The sequence below is a fragment of the Homo sapiens genome, chromosome 11, assembly GCF_000001405.40.
Source record: "Homo sapiens chromosome 11, GRCh38.p14 Primary Assembly".
In the NCBI taxonomy this organism is placed as follows: domain Eukaryota; kingdom Metazoa; phylum Chordata; class Mammalia; order Primates; family Hominidae; genus Homo; species Homo sapiens.
Window position 1 is genome coordinate 112,244,621 of NC_000011.10, and position 17,354 is coordinate 112,261,974.

The following is a 17,354-nucleotide window of genomic DNA, read 5'->3' on the forward strand; positions in this document are numbered from 1 at the left end:
AGGACACACAACAAAAGAAAACTACAGACGAATATCACTGATGAACATACATGCAAAAATCCTCAACAAAACACTAGCAAAGTGAATCCTATAATACATCAAAGGATCATTGACTATGATCAAGTGGGACTCATCCCAGGGATGCTTCAAAAATGATTAAATTTACAGAAATAAACATGATGTACCATATTAGCAGAATCAATAACAAAAACCATATAATTTTTTCAATAGATGTCAAAAAGTATTTGATAAAATTCATCCCTTTATCATAAAAACCCTCATCAAAATGGATATAGAAGGAACATACCTCAAATTATTAAAGGCCATCTATGTCAAACTCATGGCTAACATCAGACCGAAAGGGGAAAATTTGAAGGCCTTTTCTCTAAAGACTGGTACAAGATAAGAATTGCCCACTTTTACCACTTTTATTCAACATGATACTGGAAGTCCTGGTCAGAGCAACTAGGCAAAGAAAGAATAAAAGGGCATCCAAATTGTAAAGGAAGAAGTCAAGTTAACCTTGTTTGAAGAGGACATGATCTTATTACTTAGAAAGACCTAAAAACTCCACCAAAAAACTGATAGAACATAAAACAAATTCAGTAAAGTTGCAGGTTACAAAATCAACATACAAAAATCAGTAGCATTTATATGTGCCAACAGTGAACAATCTGAAAAATCAAGAAAGTAATCCCATTTACAATAGCTGCAAAAAATATAAAATACCTAGGAATCAATCTAACCAAAGAAATAAAAGTTCTGTACAAGGAAATAAAATTCTGATGAAAGAAACAGAAGAGGACACCAAAAAGTGGAAATATATTCCATGCTCATGGATTGGAAGAATAATATTGTTAAAATGACAATACTACTACAAACTACTTACAGATTCAATGCAATCCCTATCAAAATACCGATGACATTCTTCACAAAAAGAGAAAAAAAAAAAACAAACCTAACATTTATATAGAACCACAAAAGACCCTGAATAGGCAAAGCAATCCTGAGCATAAAGAACAAAGCTGGGTTGGGCATAGTGGCTTATACCTGTAATCTCAGCACTTTGGGAGGCCAAAATGGGAGAACTGCATGAGGCCAGGAGTTCGAGCCTGCAGTGAGCTATGAGTGCACCACTGCACTCCAGCCTGGGCAACAGAGTGAGACCCTTCACACACACACACACACACACACACACACACACACACAAAACAGAGTGAGACCCTTCACACACACACACACACCACACACACAAACATACCCTGAAACACAAAAACCCCCAAACCAAAAAACAAAGCTGGAGGGATCACAATACCGGACTTCAAAACTTATTACAAAAGCATAGTAACCAAAACAGCGTGGTACTGGCATAAAAGCAGACACATAGACCAGTGGAACAGAATAGAGAACCCAGTTATAAATTCATGCATTTATAACCAACTCATCTTTGACAAAAGCACCAAAAACTTAGAATGGGAAAAGTCCAGTCTTTTCAAAAAAAATGGTGCTGAGAAAACAGCATAACTATGCAGAAGAATGAAACTAGACCCCCATCTCTCACTATACAAAAATATCAAATCAAAATGGATTAAAGAGTTGAACCTAACACCTGAAACTGTGAAACTCCTAGGAGAAAGCATTGGGCAAATACTTTGAGATGTTGGTCTGGGCAAAGATTTCTTGTATAAGACCTCAGAAGCACAGGCAACCAAAGCAAAAATAGACAATTGGGATTACATCAAGCTAAAAAGTTTCTGTACAGCAAAGGAAACAGTCAACAAAGTGAATAGACAATCCACAGAATGGGAGAATGGGAGAAAATATTTGCAAACTATTCACCTGATAAGGGATCAATAATAAGAATACATAAGGAGCTTAAACAACTCAATAGTAAAAAAAAAATCCAATTTAGTAATGGGCAAAAAATTTGAACAGACATTTCTCAAAAGGAGACATACGAATTGCCAACAGGTGTAAGAAAAAATGTTCAGTATCACTAATCATCAGAGACATGCAAATCAATATCATAATGTGATATCATCTCACCCCAGTTAAAATGGCTTGAATCAAAAAGACAGGCACTAACAGATGCTGGAAAGGATGTGGAGAAAGGGGAATCCTCATACACTGTTGGTGGGAATGTGAATTAGTATAGCCACTACGGAGAACAGTATGGAGGTTTGTCAAAAAACTGAAAATAGAACTACCATGTGCTCCAGCAATTCTACCACTAGGTACATATCCAAAAGAAAGGCAGCATGGTGCTCAATAAGTATTTATTGATAAATTAGCCTGAAGCAATGTGGGATAGCCATTACCTAGATCAGAAAGGTGTGGTTTTTATGGATTACACTGTGGTAAAATTCCTTTTATATATATTTTTGAGGAGAGAGGGTGGAAATGTTAACAAAAGCGGGAACTTTTGGAATACAAAAATTAGGATCTTATAGTACTTTCATAGCAACATTAATGAAGCATAAGGTAAATGCTTAGTAAATGATCATTCGTAGGCTTTTTCTCATCCTATAAAATTGCTCAGCCTTTTTGGGGAGCCACCTGTTGTTCTTGAATCAGAGCTGGTGTGGAGTCAACCTAGGAGTCAGCATCTTAGAAGAGATTAGGAGCATGCTACTTCTCTGAGCCCCCAAATTAGTAGATGGATAATCTTAGGAAAATTGGTTGTTTAGTTCCTTCTGGTGAGTATTTTTGGATGCTTGAAAAGAATCGTAGCCAACCCATCTCTTTGGCAGTTAAACAAGCATATATGACTAAGCAGATTGTGTATTTACATAGGACACGTATTACATTTCAGTTACAAACACCAGGGAGTGATAAATATCATCAAGGTGTCCTAAGTGGGGAGGGAAGAATAGAGTCGGAATTCTTACGAGGTGCACAATTTTAGGGATCAGCAAAGAATGTTGGCATCCTGGAATTTAGCATCATTATTAAAAGAAAACTTTGTTGCTTATTACAAGCTTATTACTGGACATACCATGTTTCCTTCTGGTTGTACATTGCGTTATATATATTATAAATAGGGTGTTGAGTCCAATCTCTCTCCTTCACTGCAAGACCCTGTTGCAGTGGTCCCTATACACAAATATATGTGTATATAGGTGTTGTTATCCCACATCCTTCAGCCAGTTAAGGGCAGGGCTGACTCTGAGGCATTGTGGGAATAACAACACTGCCTATATACACAAATACGTGTGTATATATGTGTGTGTATATATAGGTGTGTGTGTATATATATATGTATATATACACACACACACACACACACACACACACACACACACACACACATATATTTTGCCCATTTCTTAACAGAAATTACTATTAGGGGAAAAATGACCAGTTTTCACTTGAGGGAAATGAAAATTGAGATAGTTTTGCCCCAAAGTCTGGTCTTGAAAACACACATACACTCACCATTTGATTCGTTCTTTAATACCCACACACAAATAATACAATTAGACAACATTCTCTGTGTTTTAACTTACTCATTAGAGACTTATATTTGAATGGAACACATTCATTATTCTTGTTTAAAGTATAATTTATTTGTTGTGACAAAAATGTTTTTATAACATAGTTTTTTTCTATATTGGCTTCTCAGACATGGTTCGTTCCTGTTCTCTTGCCCTTCAAAATCTACTGGTGTGGACAAATGGGAAGCTGCCAGCAGCCTCAGAGCTATTTCTCCTTTCTCCTTTCTTTCTTGAGTCACATGAGTCACAGAAGTTCCTTGTAACCTGAATGGGTTTGGTTAGAAATCTGAGATCATCTTGAAAGTAAGGAAGGATTCTTCCCACAGAAACTCAGAGGTTGCAGGGGAATCATTTGGCAGTGAACAAAAGTTGAGATTGGCTGTGGAATTGGCTGCCAACCTGTTCAACCAATAGGGAGAACCTAGGTGACTAAGTTCCGGCCAGTTCTAAATATTTTCAAAAAGTGTAATATGTGTCCTGAAAGATCCAGATGAACATCTATGTGACCCAAGCCTGCCAATGAGTGCCTCCAGATCTTTGTTTTGGTCTGAAGCCGTGGCAGCAAAGTTGCACATTTGAGAATGTAAAGCCTTCATTTACACACATTCGGTTCCCAGCACTAGCTTGGAACTGAATGTAGGAGGATGCAGTGGAGGCAGAAACAATTGTTTCCCTGGCTTCCCTTTAGAAGAGAAGTGTGCTGGTGAGAAAAGCAAGCAGGATATAAATGGCCTCTGTGATGGGGCTGCTGAAGACTTGGTTGGCCAAGCCTTCGAGTCTGATACTCTTGGGTGTAATCATGAAGAAAGGCTTGAAGGCTGAGCTCTGGGGAATCTTGGCAGCTAAGGCTAAGGTTGACACTGGAAAGGTGGTTGAGGGTGCGGTTGGCACTGGAAAATGGCATCGGAACCTCCGTTGGGTGGTGGGTGGGCACTCGAGAAAGGAGGGTAATCTGATGGAATGCTAGAGCCAGATTCATGAGCAAAATTCAATCAACCCTTCTCCAGTGCCAAGTGTTTTCAGAGGAGGGGAAAAGCTGGGGGTTAAACACACAGGGTTAAGTAACAAAAATAAGGAAGAAACACTTTCTACCCTTAAGGTCTGCATAGTTCTATGAGATGAGGTGGAGACCTATTGAATTTATACAACTGCTGCATTTGTTGTTGGGGTGGGTAGTCTCCTCCTGAATGTAATCTTGTCTTTAATAGATTAGGTTAATCAGTGCAAATATGATCCAGAATGACACAATGTTATTTTCTTCTTGTGAATTTCAAGGGCTTGTAAGAACCAGATCCAATCCAGACCTGAGGACGGCCATCCCTGCTTTAAAGTTAATGGAAAGGTGCCCAGTCCAAAGCCCCGACTCTGTTTCTGTGATTTCTGAGGCACTGGTCAGTTTTATATGAAGGGACCTGATCACACATTGGTTCTCTGAGGTTAACTTGCAGAGAAGCACAGAAAGCTAGGCCCATAGTCCTGAGGGGTTGTCTGATCCTGGACAAACTGGAGGTTGGCGGGAATACCTCCAAGACTCTGAGTGGACTGTAGGGAGGTCTGTAAGGAAGAGGAAGAGACCAGATGTCTGTAATCCCAGCACTTTGGGAGGCTGAGGTGAGTGGATCACTTGAGGTCAGGGGTTCGAGACCAGCCTGGCCAACATGGTGAAACCCTGTCTCTACTAAAAATACAAAAATTAGCCCGGTGTGGTGGCAGGGGCCTGTAATCCCAGCTACTCAGGGGGCTGAGGCAGGAGAATCACTTGAACCCGGGAGGTGGAGGTTGCAGTGAACGGAGGTTGCGCTACTGCATTCCAGTCTGGGTGAGAAAGTGAGACTCTGTCTCAAAAATTAAAAAAAAAAAAAAAAAAAAAGGAAAAGGAAGAAGGGGAATGTCCAGGAGTCGACTCAGGCCTGTGGAGTCTTCTTCCCGCCTGGAGGGTGCCTTCCAGTAAGGTAGCATTGTCTAATCTTTAGCACTTCCCCAGGCCAAATGTTTCTCTGGCATCCCACTAACCCAGACAGTTGGAATGCAACTACTTTCTTTTTCTTTTTTTTTTAACTGGATTTTGTTAGCCTGGAGCTAACGAGTCCTGACTAGAAACAAACCTTTTTTTTTTTTTTTTTTTTTTTTTCCTTTTTGGCATTTATGTCAGGGAAGCAGGAGCCTAGGAGAGTCAGAGTGACACCATTTAAAAGTCAACTACATCTTGCAACTAGCAAGCACATTCCTTGCCAGTCACAGCCCATGGTCCTAAGATGTTTACAGTTGAGGAAACAGACTGAAGATACCAACAAGGACACACTCCTGTAACAGCGGAAAGTCCAGATGTCCCAATACCCTTGACAATATATGCTTTCAAGATAATTATAGTTACGCTTTGATGGACTTACACACTAAAATGTCAGGGATAGTTTTCTTTACATCAATAAAGTAATAAATTTTGTCATGCTGTCAGCCCACCCACACACAGGCACAGCTTAGTTTAGTCTTTACATAGACAAGGCCCCTATACAAGAAAAACTTAAAGACAGTGTGTTCCTCCACCTGCTTTCTGAGGACACCCTACTCTGTAATAGAGTAGCTTTCAGTAAACTATCTCTTTTCACTACAGGCTGCCACTCACCTTGAATTCCTTCCTGTGTGAGATCCAAAAACGCTCTATCGGGATCTGATATCAAGACCCCCCTTTTCCAGTAACATTTACACAAGGGTTCATCTTGGCAATGGCCTTGAGGAAAAAACTACTCTCTGTTTTCTTGCAGAGGGAAATCCACCAAGGAAATAGTTAAGACATTCATATAATAGTTTCATTAGGCATAATCACTTTACAATTTGTTGTTGAATATAATTCTCCCTTTGAACACATTTTGCAATGCGTAACTGGCGGGAAAATAGGCAGCATGCTAGGTGTCTTTCAGTGTCTGGGGGCTCGTGAGGACCACCTGTTGTTGGACAGTGAGAAAGGCTAATGTTTCTTGTTCTTGGTTGAATCTTGTATTTAAAAAAGTCATTCAAAAACAATGTATTTTTATAGTTTTGATGTAAGTCTAAGAAAAGTGGAAAAATATGATATGGAATAGGAGTCTTCTTTTGGCCATTTACTTTCTGTGTGGCCTTAGACAAGTTACCTATTTTTCTGAATCTCCTTTCTTGAACCTTTTTGTAAATTAAAAAAAAAAAAAAATTAGGCTGGGCGTGGTGGCTCACGCATGTAATCCCAGTGCTTTGGGAGGCTGAGGTGGGTGGATCGCTTGAGGTCAGGAGTTCAAGACCAGCCTGGCCAACATGGTGAAACCCCATTTCCACTAAAAATATAAAAATTAGCCAGGCATGGTGGCTCATTCCTGCAATCCCAGCTACTTGGGAGGCTGAGGCAGGAGAACCCGGGAGGCAGAAGTTGCAGTGAGCTGAGATCGCACTACTGCACTCCAGCCTGGGCAACAGAGCGAGACTCCATCTCAATTAAAAGAAAAATTAAATAGAGACAAAGTCTCACTGTGTTGCCCAGGTTGGTCTTGAGCTCCTGGGTTCAAGGGATCCTTCCGCCTTGGCCTCCCAAAGTGTTGGGATTACAGGTGTGAGCCACTGCACCCAGCCTTAAATTTGTTATATATAGCTCCTTAGAGGGAGGTAAGAGAAAAGAAAGGGAATGGGGAAGAAGATGGGCGAGGAACCTCAGGGAGGTGCGAAGCTGGGGGCGACAGCCTGTGAAAAGCTGTGGAAATTCCTAGTAGAGTGGTGGTGGCCACAGGCCACTGTAAGAACTAAAGACATTGCTATTTCTATGATATCAATCCTTCTTTGTGCAACTCCCCAGCCTCCACCCCCAATCCCTTTAAAACCCTTTGGTTAAAGTCTACTGTATCCATTAAGGCTTTGTGTGAGTGGGAATTATTTGTGGAAATTGAGGAAGATGTTTTCACATTGTGTCTATGTGGTATTGAACAGAAACAGCTCCTATGGAAGCGGCATTTGGAGCCACAGATGACCCTGAGAATATAAAGACCCTGGGAATTTGCAGAAATCTTGGGGGAGGGCTTTTGTTTTCTAAAGGACATGGGACAACGGGTTGGGCAAATATTCTATAGGTCTCAAGGTGCAGGGAGACTCAACTGATAGATAGCTGAGTGATGCGTGGTAAGAAGACCCTCTTTTCTAGGGAACCCACAAGGTAATTTTCCAGGCTGACTGAGTTCATTGCAAGACTTGCAAATGGGCTGCAAAGGAACTCACGTTTTTCTCTTAGCTTCAGAGTAGAAAGTATAGGCAGCGCTCTGATCTGGACAGTGAAAGCTCTGTGGAGGGCAAATCAATGAGAGATAATGCTGAGGACCTCATGCGGAATTCACAAGTTCAGCTCACATTTCGGACTTCCCCGCCGCTTAATTCCTTTTGTGCTTACTTTCTGTATGGCACAATGAGCAGATCATTAAATACTGGTCTGCTTTTGATTGATAAGATCCTCCACGATCTTGGTCAACTTCCACACAGCCTCTCCCATTCCAACGCCCCTACCAACATCACCACCCTGACTGCCCACAGGCTGGTACACATACCTCTGGTCTTTGTTCAAGCCAGTCCCTCTGCCTATAATACCTGTCCTGGTCACATCTGCTCATAGACTCAATGGTAACCTCTATGAAGTTGTTTCTCCCTATTGTCACTAAGCTAGGCATGATGCTCTGTTGCACTGACTTGCTAGGAGCCTCTGTCCCCATGGGAGGACCGACTTTATAAGGCAGGTTCTGTTGTCAACAGTGCCTGACATATCATAGGTGCTTTATGTTTGCACTGGTACCGCTTGGTCTGTTATCCTATCAATAAACCCATTATATGAGTCCCTTGTTCATACATGTGTTAGATCATTAATGAAAGGACACCTCATTTCAGTCACTGTGCCTGGTGCTGAGGGGGCAGTGGTTGAGCAAGACAGGCCTGGTTTTCATCCTCAGGGCACTTACAGTCTCTTCAGAGGGATAGATTTTAAACAGATTATCAATTACCTAGGTAAAGAATTGATCTGTGATGTACGCTGTGATGAAGGGGAAGAAATTCTGAGAGTGTACAACTGGGAGCTCATATTTGATTTGGGAGTTCAGGGAATGGTTTATTGAGGAATTAACCTCAGTCATTATTTCTACATAGGCCTTGCCTCCCTAACCTCGCCTCCCTAACCTCATTGTAACATTCCATGAGTAGGGACCTCTTCCCATCCCTTTTGTGCCCAGCCCACCATTGTGGAGTCCCCTGCTTTCTGCATTCCTCATAATATGTGGCTCCACTCCCCTTGACTCAGCCTCGCTGATCAAGGCCATGTAACATGGTATAAACAAGCAGGGAGGCCAGCGTGTTATCGCGGGTGTGCAAGTTGGGAGAGGTCTGGAGACCATGCTGTCAGTGGGATTGGGCCGTTTGTCTTGCGGATGGTCACTGTTTGGTCTTTCATCTCTTGTTGCATGGAATGTGGAGGCTTTAATGATGTGAGATGAAAAGAAAGCCCTTGCCCTAATTGGCCTTGGCTAGCTTCTAAGCAACTGCTGTCATTGGGAAGCTGGATTGTAGTAGCTCCCATTGGGTTCTACTCTTGCAGTCACTCTGTGGGCACAATAGTCCCTCCTCCAAAGCCAATTAGGTCCAACCAGGCCCAGTGCATGGAGGGAGAGGGCAGGGTGGTTTGACAGCATAGTCATCATTACCAGCTTCCATAGAGACATGGCTGTTCAAGCTGACACAGCCTGAGGGTCAGACCGGCCCTTTCAGTACAGAATGGAATCTGAAAGCCTTAAGTACTTCCCAACATGTGGTTCCTGAAGTAAACCTAATGACAGATCCTAGCTGGGAGGAAGATTTGTTGTTAAAGTCTAATGCGATTCCAGGTGACCTTACCTCAGAATCTGAGTGTGTCCATTTTGTGTGACACTAGCAAGCCAGTTTTATTACACAATCATCACACTTTCTGTTAGCGAGCCATTTCCAAAGTGAATCCATGTTTTAAAAAATGATTCTCCAGTTTGAACATAGGGAATATGAAACAAAGAGGGTGCTCAGTTCTTTCTGAGGATGTTGAGCATAAGTGGTGTGTGTGTGTGTGTGTGTGTGTGTGTGAAAAGGGGGTATGTGTGGGAATGTGGTCTGGTATGTGCGTGTGGTGTCTGTAAGGTGTGTAGTGTGTGTATGTGTGTGGTGTGTAGTGTGAGTAGCATGTGGTGTGTGGGGGTGGTGTGTGGTGTGTGTGTGGTATTTGTATGGTGTGTGTGGTGTATGTGTGGGGTGTGTGTGTGGTACCTCTATCGTGTGTGTATGGTATGTACGTGTGTGTGGTATGTACGTGTGTGTGGTGTGTGTGGTGTGAGTGGTGCATGTGGTATGTATGTGTGTGTGGCATGAGTGTGTGTGGTGTGTGTGGTATGTATGTGTGTGGTATGTGTGTGTGTGTGGTGTATATGTGATGTGCGTGTGGTATGTATGTGTGGCATGAGTGCGTATGGCATGTGTGTATGGTGTGTGTGGTATGAGTGTGTGTGGTGTGTGGTGTGTGCTGTGTGTGTGATGTGTATGTGGTATGTATGTGTGTGTGGTGTGTGTGGTATGTATGTGTGTGTTGTGAGTGTGTGTGTGGTGTGTGTGTGCTGTGTGTGTGGTGTGTGTGCTGCGTGTGGTACGCATCGTGTGTGTGTGGTGTGTGGTGCATGTGTGGTGTGTGTGGCATGTGGGGTGTATGTGTTGTGTGTGGTGTGTGTGTGGTATGTGTGTGTGGTGCATGTGGTATGTATGTGTGTGGTGTATGTGGTGTGTGTGGGGTATGTATGTGTGTGTGCTGTGAGCGTGTGTGTGGTGTGTGTGATATGTATGTGAGTGTGGTGTGTGTGTGATATGTGGTGTGTGGTATGTATGTGTGTGTGGTGTGTGAGCGTATGTGGTGTGTGTGGGGTGCGTGTGGTATGTGTGTGTGTGTGGTGTGTGTGGTATGTGTGGTGTGTGTGGTATGTATGTGTGGTGTATGTGTGTGAGGTGTGTGGGGTGCATGTGTGTGTGTGGTGTGTATGTGGTGTGAGTGTGTGTGTGGTATGTGGTGTGTGTGTGAATGTGTGTGTCTGCAAGCGCCTATAGATGGAAGGGATGGTAGAGCACTGTGAGACGGTAATGAAGTGCGACTGCTGAGTTCTCCATATCACGTCTGGATTGTATTTTAAGTCCTCCTAGCTTAGTGTAAAACTGCATAAACCCAATATGAAAATTTTAAAGCCCAAAGCAAAGCAAGCTAGGTTCTTACTGTATCTCCACTTCAGTTATGTTCTCAGGTTCAGGAGCTTGCCACTGTGCCTCTAAGACCGTCATGTATTGATCTTTCACGTAATACGTGGAGTTGCTGTAGCAATTTTTATCCGCTCTTTGCCAGAGGCCCGCTGAGTCACTGTTCTCGTCCAAGGTTTTCATGACCACAGCATAGACGCTGTCATTCACGGGAACAAATACTGGGAGGAAATGATGAAGAAGCAATCAGCCATCTGTTCCCTCTGAGCCAAGCTCGAGGGATGAGGGCAGTGAAATCAAAACAAAGCGTGAAACAAGAAAGTTACAAAGAATATGCACATCGAGTATATGGTCTCACTGTTGTAAAAGAAGTTGAAAGTCTGGAAGGAAATACATCAAGATATTAATTGTGGTGATTTCTTGGTAGTGGGATTACAGATGATTTTTATTTTCTTTCTAGTGCTTTTTGGTTGTTTTCCAAATTTTCTACAGTAAAAGGCAGACAAAAGAAGACCCATACTCAGCTCTGGTTTTGCTACACACGAGGGGTGAGATTCTGGGAGTGAATCTCTTTACCTCTCTGAGCCGGGGCCCATTTCTCAGATGAGAAGACAAGCCTGCTTGGTCCTCTTCTCAGGGGGAGTGTGGGGACGGAAGAGGCTGATGCACGTGGAAAGGTCAGGTGGGCCAAGTAAAAGCAAAACCCTTTTTGTGGTCCCAGAAATGCTGATTCTCTTGGTCTCTGTTGTTAGGGTGTGGGAAGGAGTGCCTTTGAGCCACAGGGGCCCTAACTCCTTAGAGAGTTACCCTCAGTAACTTGTTAATTCCACTTGTTAATTTCAGCCTTCGGATGTGTAATGGAGAGGGCATTTAAAGAAAATATCTGTCTCTCCATTTCTTCCCTTAGGAGTTCTCTTCTGAGTGAATTCCTCAATGCTAGAGTATTGTTCTTTCCTGGGCCCTTTCAGCCACGCAAAATTTCTTTAAGGCTTCTCCTTAACCAAGTGAAGCAAATTGATCATGCAACACAAAAGGATCAGACAGTCCTGGATCTGAATTCTGACTATAGCACTTAGGAGCAAGTCATTTCACCTCTGAGCCTCGGTTTCCTTATTGTTCATCATTCACTCCATAAATATTTCTTGCATGCCCGCTTTGCACCTGGCCTGGTTCTAGGTCTGGGGATAATGATGTTATCCTTCATTATCTGAGATCATGATACCTATCTTGAAAGGTCCCGGAGAATAAAGAGAAGAATGTGAAGATTTTAATACATGGGGAGTACTGGATAAATTGCAATTGTTATTATGTGACTATATGCACACAACAGTTCTGTGTTCTGGTTGTTAGTTTTGCCATTCACGGTTGTGTGATGCAGATCCCGCAGACCTCGACTTGCCCAGTGAGCACCTGACATCTGTTCTAGATCTGTGCGTCAGGTGCAGTAGAAGGTGAGCAGAGACAGTGTCATGCAGATAGTCGTCAGTGTCAGCTCTGCACGGGTGTGCCCTGTCCTGCTTTTCCCTTCCATTCTGGTTTAAATCCTCTTTCTTCCTTCCTAGGCACCTATATTTTCTGGATTTCTGGCCTTAGGTTCTTCTCCTTCAGGTGGCCTTGCAACGTGCTGCGGCCACACCAGTCTTCCTTATGCAACAGGTCCATCAGAACACACTCCTGTCCAAACCTTCAAAGGGTCCTTCTTTCTAGAGCATGTCAACATTTCTGCTTTTATATTTTTGCCTCTGGTCTGTTGATTACAGTATCCAACACATGTTTTTGGACTGTAAGAACCTAGCCTCAGCCTGCTGTTTGTATTCCCACTCTAAGGGCAGCCAGCCTTTCCCTTTTTCTGCAAATGCACCTGCCCCTGATCCTTGCTCACCTCTGGCTGCCTGCCTGAAAGCCTTCCTTCCCTCTCATCATACATCACATACCCTCTTCCACTCCAACAGCTTGCTTATGTCCCACCTCTGGACCAATTTATCCCTTTTTAACTCTCGTTCCTTTTTTTTTTTTTAAACTGTTGCATTCTTAATCATATTGTACTTTGTGCTTTGTGCTATGTGCTGTGGTTTCATCTGTGTTGGTATCTGGACAGCCCAGTGTTGGGCCTCTGGGGGGTCCTAAGTAACTACTCATTGGTTGATTTTAAAAGTCATGCATCCAATGTTGTATAGTGCCCTTAAGGCTTAAAGTTCAGCAAGAAAAGCAAGCAAATCACATCCCTCTTGCCCATAGAAGTTTTTTTTTTTAAAAAGGCAGATCCTTGCTCAGCACAGTCTTAATGTAAATGTCACTGTATTAAGGGTTTCTTTCACTGATATCAAAACAGACCCAGGAAACCTGTTCTAATATGTTGCTTGAGCTGCAGTTGTTTCTTGGGACCTGCCAAGCCACTTATACACAGTTTACCAATGTTGACATCACCCCAAAGTTTAAAAGAATTTCAAAACCAAAATAAGGAAAAGCGATTGGCCTGGGTGGCCATTTACTCAGAGTCCCCAGAAGTCCTGAGTTCTGGCAGTAACACCTGCAAGGCAATCGTGGAGCCTGCTGTGTAACCACGGGTGTGGGATCTGGCAATTTACATCTCCGTCGGCGAAGATTTTGACCCTTGACTTAAATCATTTGTATCATGAGTCAATTTGCCACAGAGCTTTTGCAGCACATTTCTGTTTTAAAATGGAATTGGATAAAGTTTGGGGGTACATGGCATAAGTAGGCATTCAAGGAGCCTTAGGTCTTCTCTTTTGCCGTTCCCTTTCCCTGCTCCACCTAACGTCTCTGTGACTGCTGTGATCCCCTTCACCCCAGTGGATCATGTTGACTCATCTTTCTCCTGTCTTTCTGCTTTCAGAAGGCTCCCATGTTTCCCCCTCCATAGCATCTTCATATGATAGATTTCTTTCTTTCTTTTTTTTTTTTTTTTTTTTGAGATAGAGTCTTGCTCTGTCACCTAGGCTGGAGTGCAGTGACGTGGTCTCGGCTCACTGCAACTTCCACCTCCTGGGCTCAAGCCATCCTCCCACCTCAGCCTCCTGAGTAGCTGGGATCACAGGCGCACATCATCACGTCTGGCTAATTTTTGTGTTTTTAGTAAAGACTACGTTTTGCCATGTTGCTCAGTCTGGTCTCGAACTCTTGAGCTCAAGCAATTTGCCTGCCTTGACCTCCCAAATTGCTGAGATTACAGGTGTGAGCCACCATGCTCAGTGATAGATTTCTCTTTCCTCCATTGCATTAGCAAAATCTTTCACCTGGAGAGGTATTATCTTAAATGCCAGAGGCTCGTGATCTCTTTTGCAGTGGTGCCTCTGACACCTGAGGCTCTCCTCCAGGTTGCACATATGTCCACCTGTGCTCATCTTGAATTACAAGATTATCCTCCCTGCCCTGTCAGGACAATATCCACTGCCTGAGGGAGTGGGACATAGCTGGCCCCATCACAACTGAAGCACTTAGTGTCAGTCCTCATTTAAAAGTAAGACAAAAGATAAGCAAGGTGAGCGCGTGAAGGCATGCCATGATTGTTCACCTGCTGAAGTCTGAGACCTAGACTATGAGTGTGGAGATCACCCTGGTGGTCTTTGCAAAAGTTAGACTTTTAAGAAAGGCAGAATAACACAGTAGATAAGAAGAAAGGTTCTGAAGCTGGACAGCTGGCTGGATAAAAAGCTGTACGAGTTTTGGTTGTGCTATTTAGATTCAAATCTTAGCTAAGTTACTTATTAGTGTAAATTTTTAACTTCTCTGTGCCTCAGTTCTTGTCTGTAAAATGATAACAACATCTACTTCTAAAACATGCCCAGCACATCGTAAGAAGGGTTAGCTCTCACTACTATAAGGAAGAGTATATAGTGGTTAAAGGCAGGGTCTCTGAAGCTGGAATGCTGGTTCATATCTTACCTTCACCATTTAAGTAGCTCCGGGACCTGAGCAAGAGTCACTTAGCATCTCTGTCTCTGTTTCTCATCTACAAAATGGGAATGATAATGATATCTCCCTAATAGGTCACTATTACATGTTAAACACCATAGGAAGTGTTATTATTATGAAATGAATTAGAAAGCATATTCCTTGACTTTTAGGTTTGGCTGATTCAAAAAGGGCTATATAAAAAATATCTACTGGACACCTCTAAGAAAAGCATTGGATTAAGAATGAACAGACTAAGATTCAAGAGCCAGTTCTATGACTTACTAGAAGGGAGACTCTGGGCAGGTCATTTAATTTCCCTTGGTCTCAGGCTTTTCATACATAAAGTGGGTTAGTAATACTTCCCCTGTGTTGTTTATTAGATTTTTTTCACCCACGGACTAAATGCAGTACACAATTATCCCCAGAGGCATCATATTGTCAAATAGATATGAAAAGATTACACACTGGAGGCTGGGTACAGTGGCTCACACCTGTAATTCCAGCACTTTGGGTGACTGAGGTGGGTGGATCACTTGAAGCCAGGAGTTCGAGACCAGCCTGGTCAACATGGAGAAGCCCCATCTCTACTAAAATACAAAAAATTAGCCAGGCGTGGTGGTGTGCACCTGTAATCCCAGCTACTTGGGAGGCTGAGGTACAAGAATTGCTTGAACCCAGGAGGCGGAGGTTGCAGTGAGCTGAAATTGTACCATTACACTCCAGCCTGGGTGACAAAGTGAGACTCTGTCTCCAGAAAAACAAAAACAAAAAGAGAAAAGATTATACACTGGAATGCAATGATTATCCCTTAAAATGATAAAACTGCCCATTTTATTTAAGTCAGAGAATCTACCCCAAGTGTGCTCTTGCTGGGACTCAGTGAATCTGGGGTTGGGGCTTTCTCGCTCCTGTGGCTTGAGTTCACAAGGAATTTGCAGAAATAGCCCCCCAGCCCACTCCCTTAATTCTCATTCTTTGTCTTCCTTCCCTTGCTTCCCATTTGGTTCAGAAGACACATGTTTTGTATAATTGAGAGTAGCGATAGAGGGGTGTGTTCTGAAATTCTGGTTAATTTCCCTCAGGGAACAAAGGACAGCAGAGAGCATGGCTTCTACTCACCAGAATAGACTGCATTGCTTTCGTAGATATGTGAACTGGCCTTGATGTCTAGGGTTATGGTGTAGTATTCATCAAAGGTGAAGCAGGTGCTACTGTACCTTATAAAGGTGGCAGAAGAAAGCTGCAGACTGAGGCACAGAAACATCCCCAGTGGCTGCAGCAGCATGTCATGGAAGACTGCCATGGTCTCAGTCTGTTTGGAAAGTGCTAGGCCTGGAATTGGGTGAAACTGACAACTCACCTCTTGTTTATATGCCAGGGCTTCTGGGTGAAGTCATACATGCAGATCTTCTCCCTGCCCCTTCTGAATATACATTGGATTCTGGAATTTGGCCCAAGACATCACCAGGAATGAATCACCAGTCACCATTACCTGTCACCGATGATTTTGCAAATTGCAGTTTTGCTCAAGAAAGGGAATGTCCTGAATATGGTTTTCTTTTACGCCTGTCATTTCAGCATCTGCTGTTTGAAGAAAGCCATTGAGAAGATGTGAATACCAGCAAGTGAAATTCAGAGTTGTGTAAAATGTAAAATAAACCCCTGAGGAATGAGATGTCTATAGGGGGTTTGAAAAGCTTGGACGAATCCCTGGGAATCTAAAAAGCCATGTGCATGTGCAGGGCTACACACATTCCCAGGAAAGACCTGAGGAGGCCCTAATTACTCACCTCTGGCCGACCTTGAGGCTCTGCACAAGTAAGAAGTAAAGGCTAAGGTAGAGCTGTAAACTGCCTATCTGATCACTGAAGGCATTCCCCAAAACACACATGCAGAAGTGCTTAGCAAAGACTGGGAGACTTGTTGGTTCCAGAGTTATTAGTTAAAGAAATTTTTTAAAAATCTATTTATTAGCTGGTCAATAAGCAAACAGAACAGAGACTTTGGTGGTTACACATGATAAAGAATACAGACTTCACATAATTAATTTAGGAAAGTCATAAAACAAACAGCAGCAACAACAACAATAAAAAAGAATAACAAACAGCAACAAAAACAAACTCAGGGAGGAGAAGGGAGTCTGGTGTCCAAAGTTGTCACATTTGTGTGTGTGTGTGTGTGTGTGTGTGTGTGTGTATGTATGTATTTATTTATTTTTTTGAGACACAGTCTCACTATTGCCCAGGCTGGAGTGAAGTGGTGCAATCATAGCTCACTGCAGCCTCAAATTCTTGGGCTTAAGTGATCCTCCTGCTGCAGCTTCCCAAGTAGCTGGGGCTATAGGCACGTGTCATCACACCTGGTTAATTTTTATAGTTTTTGTAGAGTCTTGCTATGTTGTCCAGACTGTTATTGAACTCCTGGGCATAAGCAATCCTCCTGCCTCAGCCTCCCAAAGTGCTGGGATTATGGGCATAAGTCACTTTGCTTGGCTTCATGTTTTTTAAATGTTCAGTTTTCAAGAAAAATTATAAGATATACAAATAAACAAGAAAGTATGGCTTATACAGAAGAAAAAAACATCCCAGGTAAACAGAAACTGTCCCTGAGGAAGCCCACACGCTGAACTTGACATAGACGTTAACTCAGCTTTATAAATACGTTCAAAGAACTAGAAAAAATCATGTC

General features: G+C 42.8%; 1 protein-coding gene and 1 long non-coding RNA gene across 2 annotated transcripts; one reads left to right on the top strand and one right to left on the bottom strand.

The window, feature by feature from the left end:
* Positions 1–3,532: 3,532 nt before the first annotated feature.
* PLET1 (placenta expressed transcript 1) lies at positions 3,533–16,240 on the bottom strand. Its single transcript, NM_001145024.1, has 4 exons — positions 15,786–16,240; positions 10,768–10,969; positions 7,728–7,789; positions 3,533–4,354 (listed from the first exon to the last, which is right to left on the bottom strand). Exons 1-4 carry the CDS (start codon positions 15,967–15,969, stop codon positions 4,179–4,181), a joined length of 624 nt encoding a protein of 207 aa, NP_001138496.1. The 5' UTR covers positions 15,970–16,240; the 3' UTR covers positions 3,533–4,178.
* Positions 15,645–16,776, top strand: LOC100132686 (uncharacterized). The gene has a single exon (NR_133566.1). It is a non-coding gene; the product is annotated as an uncharacterized LOC100132686 (long non-coding RNA).
* The last annotated feature ends 578 nt before the right edge of the window (positions 16,777–17,354 follow it).

Bases quoted from the DNA above. Each gene is read 5' to 3' on its own strand.
- PLET1 (NM_001145024.1), bottom strand. From the start codon at position 15,969: ATGGCAGTCTTCCATGACATGCTGCTGCAGCCACTGGGGATGTTTCTG. The intron at 10,970-15,785 runs GTGAGTAGAAGC...ATTTCCTCCCAG, and splicing joins AAGCAATGCAGTCTATTCTG to TATTTGTTCCCGTGAATGAC. The intron at 7,790-10,767 runs GTAAGAACCTAG...TGCCCTCCACAG, and splicing joins ATAACTGAAGTGGAGATACA to AGCTTTCACTGTCCAGATCA.